The sequence below is a fragment of the Homo sapiens genome, chromosome 3, assembly GCF_000001405.40.
Source record: "Homo sapiens chromosome 3, GRCh38.p14 Primary Assembly".
In the NCBI taxonomy this organism is placed as follows: Eukaryota; Metazoa; Chordata; class Mammalia; order Primates; family Hominidae; genus Homo; species Homo sapiens.
The window spans coordinates 70,614,892-70,627,100 of record NC_000003.12 but is presented as its reverse complement, the minus strand read 5'-3'; the positions used below and the strand labels follow the sequence as shown (position 1 = coordinate 70,627,100).

General features: G+C 38.8%; 3 annotated features.

Moving 5' to 3' along the window:
- Positions 10,785-11,669: an enhancer, noted in NCBI's record as "OCT4-NANOG-H3K27ac-H3K4me1 hESC enhancer chr3:70664583-70665467 (GRCh37/hg19 assembly coordinates)". NCBI's record gives its function as "activates a minimal SCP1, AML or CMV promoter by ChIP-STARR-seq in naive H9 embryonic stem cells {active_cell/tissue: H9 hESC(naive)}" and the evidence as "EXISTENCE:reporter gene assay evidence [ECO:0000049][PMID:30033119]".
- Positions 10,785-11,763: a biological region, named in NCBI's record as "Sharpr-MPRA regulatory region 8579".
- Positions 11,469-11,763: a silencer, noted in NCBI's record as "tiled region #8579; K562 Repressive non-DNase unmatched - State 24:Quies". NCBI's record gives its function as "represses a minimal TATA promoter and a strong SV40 promoter by Sharpr-MPRA in K562 cells {active_cell/tissue: K562}" and the evidence as "EXISTENCE:reporter gene assay evidence [ECO:0000049][PMID:27701403]".

Here is a 12,209-nt window from a genome sequence, read left to right as displayed (position 1 = left end):
AACTTAGTGCCATCTGCTTCTGGGGAGGCCTCAGGAAGCTTTTACTCATGGCAGAATGTGAAGGGGGAGCAGGTGTCTCACATGGTGAAAGCAGGAGCAAGAAAGAGAGAGGGTGCAGGGTTGAGGAAGGGATGGGGAGGTGTTGCACACTTTTAAATGACCAGATCTCGTGAGAACTCACTATCATGAAGTCAGCATCAAGCTGTGAGGGATCTGCCCTCATAATCCAAACACCTCCCCCAAGGCCCCACCTCCAACATTGGGGATTAGATTTCACCATGAGATTTGGGCAGGGACAAATATCTACACTATATCACTCAGTAAACCTCAGTTTCTTTCTTTATAATAGTGAAATAATAGCATCTACTCCATGGGACTGTTGTTGAAGGATTAAATAAAATATTAAGTACTCAGAACAGTGCCTGCATGTCATAGGCACTGTTTAAGAAGTGTTAGTTATTAAAAATTTGTAATAATAATTATTGTTAAACTTAAACATGTATTCTTAAAATTCCAGAAAGACCTAAGTCTTTTTTTCATTTTTTTGAGGCACCTAGCATATTAATAAATAAATGACAAGTAGGAAATTATAAGAAATTATAATTAAGAAATTAATAACATATAAGAAATTAATACTTTTAACACCAAGAATTATAATATCTGTCAATCAATGTAACCACTTTTGAAGTAAATGTGAGGTCTTTTGTATATATAACATTTAAAGCAAATGGCCCTCCCCATCCCATAATAGGCCCTGAGATTAAGAAATGGACCCATGTAAGAAGGTAGAGTTGGAAGGGAGGCATTTCGTGTGGAAGAAACAAAAGTGCCAGAACTATCGAGGAAAGAAGATACAGGGGGAGCTTGGGGAATAATGAATTGTTGATTTTAGTTGGTGTCTTTGTTTATGCTGCTGTAACAAAATATCACAGACTGTATAATTTATAAACAGTAGAGATTTATTTCTCACAGTTCTGGAGGTGAGGAAGACCAAGATCAAGGTGCTGGCAGGTTCCATGTCTGGTGAGGGCTCTCTGTATCCAAGACGACACATTGTTGCTGCATCCTCCAGAGTGGGGGAATGCTGTGTCCTCACATGGTAGAAGGGAAGAAAGGGGTGACCTTGTCCCTCAAGTCTTTTCATAAGGCACTAATCAATTTATGAGGGTAGAGCCTTTAATGGCCTATCAGCTCCTAAAAGCCTCGCCTCTCAATACTATTGCATTAGGAATTAAGTTTCAACATGAATTTTGGAGGGGCACAAACGTTCACACCATAGCAGTAGGGGCATAGGAAATCTTTAAGAAGAAAATACAGATACTTGGAGGCACATGATGGTACATTCTAAAACACTGAATTCAGTAGGGAATAAGAGATCAGTTCCTTGAGTCTCTATATGTGTGTACATGTATACGTGTGTACATGTATATGTGTATAGTGGTCATATAATTGGAATTGTATCTTAAAGGGATCACTTGACAAAAGTATGAGTGTAGATCTGATAGAGGCAGGTGTCAGAGAGATCCTCAGGGAGAGCATTAGAATGAGGGCATCAACATGACATTGGGAAGGAAAATGGAGGAAGACAGAAAAGATGATGCTGGGGATAGAGATGTACAATATCAGTTCCTGCCTCACATTGATTTCAACAGATAGCCTTGCGTATCCCCTTTATACTGGTATTATAAATAGCAGCCATTAGATTGAAAAACAAAACAAAACAACAAAACAACCGAGCTCCTTCAGCAAATTGTGTCCTTCCTAATTTACAGATTCATCTTTCCCCACAACTATCTTTCCCCAATCTCTTCCTGCCCCAGAAGAAGGAGAATGACTCTCCAGATGACCTCATTTCTCCATCTTGGAATCATGAAAGTATCCTTCTGTGAAAATGTTTCCATTCTAGTCTGGAACCCATCTGCTTCTATCCCCACAGAAAACCCGTGAATCCATTGCCTTCTATTGTATCTTCGACTCTCCCCCTCTCCTGATTCTTTCCCCCAGATTTAAACCATTCATAATTTCTACCTCTGGCCCATTTATTTCCTCTTTCATTTCTGCTTTACCAACAGTTCATTCTTTGGCTTAATTCTCTTTTCATTCTACACACCTCACCTATGCCATTGGCTTCAGTTATCACCAATGTGTTTATGATTTTTAAATCTCTGTCACAATTACCACCCATATAGCCAACAGGTTGTTGAAATGACTGTTTTATCAAAAGTGGAACTCATGATCTGATTCTCAACCCTCTTGCTTCTGTACTTTATATATCTTAGAGTGGCAGCACAGTCATTTTAATCTACCAAACTATAAGCCTGTGAGGAATCCTAGATGCCTGTTTCCCTCATGATTTTTCACTAACCAGTTTCTAACTCTTGGGCAGCATCAGTTGGGCTTCTTTGGATGAAAACAACATACAGAGACAAGAACTTACTGGCAGCCCATGAGGACTACACCAGGGTTTGGAAGGCTGAAAAATTAGTCTTAAATCTGGCAGTTCTGGAAAGCTAGGGAGGAGGAATTGAAGCAATATTGGTTTTCTCAGTGTATATAAGGCACGTCAAAGAGGGCTGCAAATTCCATGACATTCCTTCAATTCAGAGATTGAGACCACTTCCCCTCCCCTTGTATCTGGATTATCCTGTGACTGTTATGACTGATAGAGTACAGAAGAAAAATGCCATGACAGTTGCAGACGTCACCTTCAAAAGGACTAACTTGGGTTCCTGGAACTTCCATGTAGGAAGTCTAACTACTCTACAGCAGTGGTGTCATGGGGAGAACCTGAGAATACAGAAGGGTAGAGAAACCCAGTTAAGCTCAGCTTCCTAGTCATCCTCACCCAGACAACAGGCATGTGAGGGAATTGATTTTCAGCCGATGGTTCCTAGGGCAGAAATATTTAGCCCTGGCCAAGCCTAAACCACTAAATTATGAGATATAATTAAATGGTTATTTCCACCCCCTACATTTTAGAGTGGTTTGATGACCAGAACCAAAGGAATAGTCTGGTGAGGGCCATGTGTCTAAATGAAGCAACTTTAACATTTTATTCCACGTTCATGTTTTTTTTTATACAAGAATCCAAGCTAGGACACAACTTCTGATAGCGTAAGTGTAAGTTCTGTGCCTTCCCTCTCTATGTAGACAGATAATTAGAGAAAGTAGCAGGCTCACTTGGTTTCCATTAAAAAAAGAAGTAATTTGAATTTATCATCCACTGAGGCAGCATGTAATAGAGAAAATATAATTTCCCCAAAAGGAAGTTGGGTGCTGTTTGAAATGGGGAGTGAATGCTGAACAATGCTGTCAAATTACAAATGTCCACCAAATGTGGCTTCTTCCTCTAAATATCTTCTGAATAATTCTTCATGTCAACAAATTAGTTCAGGCTTCATCTGCTCTCAGGATTATTGTAATAACCTCCTAATTGGTGTTTGCTTCCACATTTATATATTTATTTATTAGCTACCACATATAACTTTTTAAAACAAAAATGGCATGAATAACTTGACATTCACATACAAAAGAATACATTTGGACCTTTCCCTCAAACCATAGACAAAAATGAACACAAAATGGATCACAGATCTAGATGTAAGAGCAAAAACTATAAAACTCCTAGGAGAAAATAGAGGAGTAACTTTCCAGGGCCCTGGGCTATACAATGTTTTCTTGGACGTGGCACCAAAAAGCACAAGCGAAAAAATAAAATATAGCTAAATTGGACATTATAAAAATTACAATTTTTCATGCATCAAAGGATGCCACCAATAAAATGGAAAGACAATAGAATGAGAGAAGATAATAGCAAATCATATATTTAATAAGGAACTTGTATCCAGAATATATAAAGAACTCTTGCAATACAATAGCCCAATTTAAAAATTGGCAAAGGATCTGAATTGACATTTCTCCTATGAAGATGTGCAAATGACCAATAAATGTATCCCATCAGTAATGTATGAGAACTCTAAATTCTCTACATACTTGCCAACACTTGTTACTATGTATCTTTTTATTTTATTCATTCTAGGAGGTTTAAAGGGGTCTCATTGAGGTTTTATCTGCATTTCCCTAATGGCTAATAATGTTGGCAAGGATGCGGAGAATTTAGAACTCTCATACATTACTGATGGGATACAAAATAGTACAGCCACTTTGAATAATAGTTTGACACTTTAAAAACTTATTAAGCATACGTATGACCCAGAAATTCCACTCCTAGGTATATATACAAGAGATAAATGGAAGATATGTTCATGCAAAAACTTGTACATGAATGTTCATAGTACCATTATTTATAATAGGTAAAATGTGGAAACAACCTAAATTTCCATCAATGGATGCATTAACAAAATGTAGTATATCCATGCAAGTGAATATAATTCAGCCATAAAAAAGAATGAAATGCTGATACATGTTATAACATGGAAGAATCTTCAAAACGTTACGCTAAGTGAAAGAAGCCAGTAAAAAAGACTACATACTGTACGATTCCATTTGTGCGAAATGTCCAGAATAGGCAAATCTCTAGAGAAAGAAAGTAGATTAATGGTTGTTAGGGGCTAGGCAAATAGGTAGTGACTACTAATGGGTATGAGTTTTCTTTGGGAGTGATAACAATATTTTAAAATTAGATAGTAGTGATGATTTCATGACTCGGTGAACATATCGAAAACCACTGAATTGTGCACTTTAAATTGGTAAATTTTATATTATGTGAAATTTATCTAGATAAGACCAAAGGAAAAAAACATGGTGAAGTCACAGTTACTTAAAAGCCTTCTATGGCTCTTCACTGTCTGCAGTCTGCAGGCACACTTCTCTGGCTGGGACATGTATATTCTCTTCAGGGTCAAATCTAAACTTCATTAGGATGATGTAGAAATCTTTGTTGCTATTTCTCAGCCTTTAGTATCTTTCCCATTTCTTGACATGCGTTAATCCACCCATTCTTTCTTCTAGCCATGCAGAACTACTTATACCTGGCTCTACGTGCTTCTCTGACTTTGATCATTTGTTGCCCTCGATGTCATCCTCATCCCACCACACCAACTCTTATCCCATATCATATCAAACTGCTACTCATTCTCTAAGACTTACTTTGCATGTTTTTTTCCAGGTTATCAGTAATCATTGTTGGCTCACATAAATGACTCTGACTAACTCGGACAATAAAATGAGTGTTTTGAAAAGATACAAGATGGATACAGGTAGGTATAGGTAGCTCAAAGAACAAAAACAACCCAACAACTAAACATTCAAGGCACAGAAAAAAACCTTTATGAATCTAGACTGTAGGAACTAATGACTCATCTTTTCATAGAAAAGGTCCTTGGAATGGGTCAGTTCTGGTTTTGCATTCTGTGATATTCAGTTCAAGGTTCATGACTCAAAGGAAGAAATTATCTCATTGCCTTTGCTTGGGTAACATGTCCATGTCTCAACCATGGGCTGGTTGGGTATTTTGGTGGACATGTCACCAAGATTGCATATAATAGGTTGTCCTACATTTCTAAGCCTCCAGGAAGTGAAATGAGACCACACGACTATTTGAACCACAGGAGGACATGATATGTCTAAGCTAAAGCAAAGAGGAGCCAGTGCAAGGTGGTCTAGTTGTTTCTGCCATGTATTCTACATGGTGTAGCTAAATGAGATAGAATATTTGTCAGTCTTGGTCCCTGAGTGCCTGTGGTCAAATGAACTCCTCTCTACCTTGTATAGGAAATGTAGCATGAATAAAACTGTGTAGTGTGAGCAAGAAATAAAATGATAAAATGTTGCCTTTGCTTTTACTAACCTATTGAGACTAAAATATTTCTCAAATTAAAATTGAGTCAATGTCACCAGAAAAAAAAAAAAAAAAAAAAGGAAATGGATGCTGAGCAAGCAAAACTAACAGCTACCTACTAAATCCAGTGCGGCTCTCTGACCTCCCTGGGGAGAGTTAACGCTTCCTATTCTTGCTTTCACAGTACTTTGGTATATATCTTTACCAGCACATGTTAAATAGCTGTAATTATTTGATTGCATTCCTTTTTCTTCCACCAGCTGCTGAGCTTGATACCAAAAAGACAATGAGCAAATATTTGTTAAATAAGAGAACAAATAAATGAGTAAAGAAGGAAAAAGTGAAAGAAAGACAAATCTGGTAATTAGGTGATCATCTCTGTTATATATAAAAGAGACCCATGGTGTTCTCTTAATAGTTTTTCCTTTTGTGTATATTCATGCTTTGTTTCACTCTTTGGTAAATGACAGATGCTCCAGAGCAAAATGGGTAAGTTGCAGCCCGCTCGTCACCTAGCCTGCAAATTTGTTTAAGTGGTTTTAGTCTGCTCAGTGTCTTAAACATTTTCACTTAGTGGCCATTTAAAAATTTACCGAAATATTTGGAGTTGCAGTTTCTCTTGAAAAATTGGAATAGCTGATAACAGTAAGCCCCTATTCCCTTATGGCAACACTTAGCTGGCACTCTGGTGCTTTGCTTCTCACATACAGAGGAAGTTCCTCCACTTTGCATAGAGTCTGTCTAACCTGTTTCCCCCGTTAAAGTTACCTGCCAGACTGCTTTGATGGGCATTTTTTCCTAAGATCCCTGCAAACCCTTTTGGAAATGACAACTTGTTTAAAAGGTCTTTTCTGGGACACCAAGACTATTGACTGCTCTGTGGATGTGAGAATTCCCCTTTCCAGTTAAAACTAGAACTCTGACTTCACATATCATGAATAAACTGTTAAAGTTTGAAAAACCACTTGGGTAAAGCGTTTGTTATATATTATTCTGTAATGGTCACTGTCTACTAAAGGTGCAGGTGATTAACTTTTACTTGGTGATTTCTTCAATTTTAGGAAAACATTTTTGATTTGGTCTTGATGTAGTTTAAATGCATTGTATGAACTTCTTTTTTTCTGAAAGAGTATAATTTGGTTCATAAATTGCAGATGGTGGAATCATGGTAAATGAATATCCTCATTGCTCAGAAAATTAATTCTTTTGACAGAATCATTCACTTAAAATGGAGTGAATATTTAAATTTATATATTAAGAGATTTGAATGGAGTATCTATGCCTTCATTTTCATATACTGCTTCCTTCAATAATTTCATAGTTCATTTCCCTTTTATTGAAGTTAGGGGCATTTGAGTCATAATTGTAGGTTCCCATTGCCAAACATTTTTCTTTCATTCATTCTCTCTTCATTTTTTTTTTCTTCTTTGTGTGGTATTTATGGTTCCCTTGCATTTGCTGTCAGGTGGAAATGGTCATACCAATACATGTAACTTTAACAATTGGTCTCAGGCTGCACAGGATGGTGGTTAGAGTTGGTCTGGCTGGGATAAAATCCAAGAGTCTCCATCTTTTGCTATGTGACCTTGAACAATCTGCTGAACCTATCTGATGAACTCTGTTTTCTTGTGTATATAATGACGATAATAATGAGTTGTTCTAAAGAATGTATCTGCCCACTGATTTTTGTTTTGGCTTCTGATCACTACATGCCCCTTCCTGCCTTTATTCTCTGCTTTTGCCATTATCCTTGACTATAATAATTTTCCAGTGCCTCGTACTTATCGGAATTCCTCTTGTGCTTGAAGGTCTAGCTCAAATAACATCCTTTCTCATCCTTTTTTTGAATGCAGAACTCTTCATTTTGGAACTGTAAATTTGGCACTTGTATGTCATTTATCTTCAGAATTTCTGTTAATGGAAGCAAATGAGGAGGAGATTATGGGGCTAGAAATAGATGACCTACAATTTTGTTAAAAGAAAACAAATACATTTGAATTATACAGGGTCAGAATAACCATGGTTTAGCACATCCCTGGGAGTTATGTATCTTCAAGCAATTCTTGGTATCATATAGCAGTAGGAGTCAAGCCTTAAGGCAGGGAGAGTGACAGAGAGAAGGGGAGTTAGACGCAGGGAAAGTTGAAAGAAACAGCAAAGTAGATGAGTTTTCAGCAGAGAAGCTGGAGGAAATCAAGGCCACCTGGGATTGTGCTGACTTTTAATCTCAGTTCATCGTGTAGTCAACCCCTGAATGACAAACAGGGCTCAGCAAACATTTTTTGTAAAGGCCCAGAAAGTAAATATTTTAAGCTGTATGTTCTATGTTATTAATTCAACTATTCAATGCTGCCATTTTAGCACAAAAGCACCCATAGACAATATGAAACAAATAGGCATGGCTATGTTCCAATAAAACTTTATTTATGTATTAGAAGGCAGACTGGATTTGAGCTGTTGCTTGTTGACTAGTTGAACTAGAATCTTTATAAACAAAATATAGACCTTTGAGAAAAGGGCTGTGTCTCCCTCTTACATCTTTAACTGTCAATATAGTTCGATTTTAAAGATTCATTAAGGATGAAGATTATTTGCAGCATAACACATCTCATTTATAATATATGTCTATTAATCCACTCTGATACCTGGAATGTTTTCCTCCTATGCCATATTTGTATTGACATTTACTCTTTTGGAGGCAACAGTTTTAATTCCTAAATATGCTCTCTGTAGTACATTTTATGAATGTTTCATTAGTTAAAAATAATGTAATACTTTCTATATGAGTTTCATAAATTGCTTCTACCAAATTTAATTTATACACACTCTGAAAAATAAATGAGCATTATGTATTAAGTTTAAAAAAAGGAAGAAAAGACCTTACATACCAACTAACTCCAACTGATTGGTAGTTGTTTTCTGTAATTTTTTGATGATATAAATTTGATGACATGACATAAAGCTACCAGTCCCAAGAGTCGGAAAGCAGTAATTGACTGATGTTGTTTGCCATGGATGGGGTGAGGGTGAAGAAGGTAGTAGTCTTGACATTCAGATCATGTATCTGGCAAATAGTACAAAAAATTCTATATACATATGTGTGTGTGTATGTGTGTATGTATTCTGTGAGTGTGTGTTTATGTTTGAAAGATACTCACCAAATTATTTACTTGGATTTTCTGGATAGCTCAGTGATGGGAGAATTTATTTTTCTTTTTGATTTGGGATTATGTGGAATTTCGAAATTTTTTACAGTGAAAAATGTTACTTTTGGGATTTTTGCTTCTGGTAGTATGAAAGGACTAGATACCCTAAAAAATCGTTCTGCTGCAAGACAACCTAGCTGCCAGATAATGTGCATGAAGTATATTTTTTATGCATTTCTGTACTTTCAGTAGAGTTAGGAAAATAATTAATAAACCATTTGATACCACTGTTACGAGGGGGTCCTTGCTCCCGAGCTCCCAAGATGGTGGCAGGCCACTTCCAAGATGGTGGCAAGCCTCGTGTTCTCTGACCTGGGGTTCTTGGCCTCACAGATTCCAAGGAATAGAATCTTGGGCCATGCAGTCAGTGTTATAGCTCTATTAGAACCTGCGGGTCACAGAAGAGAACCATGGAACCCAGTGACTAGTGTTCAGCTCTATTAGGACGAACCCAGGCACTTAGCCATGCAGGAACAATGGCAAGCCTTTAGCCCGATCGGGAGTGGCAATGGGCGCCTCGATGGATCAGGAGCACAGCGGACACCCTGCCAGATCTGGAGGGATGGAAGTCAGCGGTGGGTCTGCGAAAGCGCAAACAGGAGTGGTGGACAGCAAGTGAAAGCTCACCTCGAGCCGTAAGGAACACGGAACAAAAGAGAGTGCAGTTGCAAGATTTAATAGAGTGAAGACAGAGCTCCCATACAAAAAGAGAGGACCCAAAGAGGTAGCTATTGCCGGCTCAAATCCCTGGGTTTATATCCCGATCATTGTCCGTCTGCTGTGCTCTCAGGCGAAAGATGATTGGCTATTTCTTTACCCCCTGTTTTTGCCTAATTAGCATTTTAGTGAGCTCTCTGACTGGTCAGGTGTGAGCTAAGTTGCAAGCCCCGTGTTTAAAGATGGACGCGGTCACCTTCCCAGCTAGGCTTAGGGATTTTTAGTTGGCCTAGGAAATCCAGCTAGTCCTGTCTCTCACCACTAGGATCAGTGAAGTCCTAAAAGTAAATGTCAATGCCAGTGCTGATACCAAAAGGCTAAACTGTGGCTGCTACACATTGAAGGGGATGAATCTCTCACTCCTTCATTAAGCTGGAAACTTAAAAGTGCTAAAGTGGTCCTACGATAATCCTACAACTCTCCTCCAGAATAAAAAATTCCAAATGTGTAACAGTGATAGTCCTACAGGTCCAGTTCAACAAAATTTGAGCTCACAATAAAAAAGGAAATCATCAAACACAAAATGAAATAAGGAACCATGAGTGAGAATCAGCAAAATCAATGATGGTTTAAGATCCCAACTGAAGAGGTTAGTTACTAGAATGATCAGACATAGAACACAAATATAAGCATAGTATAGTATACATTTAAATAAGTAGGAAGTTGAATAAAAATTGAGCAAAGAACAAAAGGCTATCAAGAATGACCAATCAAATTGACTTTTTAGAAATATGAAATGTAACTGCTGAAAATTAGACTCTAGATGGGTTATACAAGGCATTACACACTGTTGAAGGGAGCATGAGGGAACTAAAAGATAGATTCAAATAAACTACTTGATATGGTTTGGATATTTGTTTCCTCCAAATCTCATGTTGAAATGTGATCCTCAGTGCTGGAGATGGTACCTAGTGGGAGGTGTTTGGGTCATGGGGCCTCATGAATGGCTTAGTGCCATCTTCACAGTAATGAATGAGTTCTCACTTTGTGAGTTTATGTGAGATCAAGTTGTTTAAAAGAGACTGGCACCTCCTCCCTCTCTTGCTTCCTCTCTTGCCATGTTATATGCCTGATCCCTTTTCATCTTCTGCCATCACTGTAAGCTTACTGAGGCACTCACCAGAAGCAGATGCTGGCACCATGCTTCCTGTACAGCCTGAAGAACTGTGAGCCAATTAAATCTTTTTTCTTTATAAATTATCCCATCTCAGATATTCTTTTCTAGTAATGGAAAATGAACTAAAACACAAAATTGGTGCTGAGGAGTGTAGCATTGCTATATAGATACTTGAAAATGCAGAAGCAATGGGAAGAGATTGAAGATTTTGGAGGATCAGAAGAAGACAAGAAGATAAGGGAATGTTTGGAACTTCTTAGTGACTAGTTAAATAATTGTGACCAAAATGTTATTACATGTATGGGCAGTGATGGCCAGGCTGACAAGGTCTCAGATGGAAATGAGGACTTTATTGGGAACTGGAGTAAAAGTCACTTGTGTTACACCCTAGCAAAGGGCTTGGCTACGTTATGTCTGCATCGTAGGGATCTGTAGAAGGTTGAACTTATCTGTGATGACTTATGGTATCTGGTGGAAGAAATTTCTAAGCAGCAAAGCTGGCTGCTCCTCACAACTTAGGATCAAATAGGAGCAAAGGAATGACTTAAAGTTGGAACTTACATTTAAAAGAAAAGCAGGGCATAAAAATTTGGAAAAATTGCAGACTAGTCGTGTGGCAGAGAAAGGAAACACTTTTTCAGGAGAGAAATGCAAGCACCCTTTGGAGCAAGGAATGCTAGAGAGATTTGCCTAACAAAAAGGGAGCCAGGTGGTAATATCCAAGACAATGGGAAAAAAGCCTCCAAGATATTTCAGAAGTCTTTGGGACAGCCCTTCCCATCACAGGCCCAGAGGCCTAAAAGCAAAGAATGGTTTCAGGGGCCAGGCCTGGAACACCACTGTCCTGTGCAGCCTTGGGATGCTGCTCCCTGCATCCAAACTGCTACAGCTCCAGCCTTGGCTCAAAGGGCCTCAGATACAGCTTGGGCCACTGCTTCAAAAGGTGCAAGCTGTAAGCCTTGGTGGTTTCCATGTGGTGTTAAGCCTAAAGGTGCACAGAATGAAAGCATGAAGGAGGCTTGGCAGCTTCCCCCTAGATTTCAGAGGCTGTATCGGAAAACTTGCTTGCTTAGGCAGAAGCCCGCTGCAGGGGTGGTGCCCCTGTAGAGAGCCCTTGTTAGGGCAGTGCCAAGGGGAAATGTGGGGTTGGAGCCTCCACACAGAGTTCCCATTGGGGCACTGATTATTGGAGCTATGGGAATGGGGCCACTCCAGCCCCCAATGGTAGACTCGTTGACAGCATGCACTCTGAGCCTGGAAAAGCCACAGGCACTCAATTCCAACATGTGAGAGCAGCTGCGGGGCTGTATCCTGCAAAGCCATAGGATTGGAGCAGCCCAAGGCCTTGGGAGTTCACCTCTTGTACCAG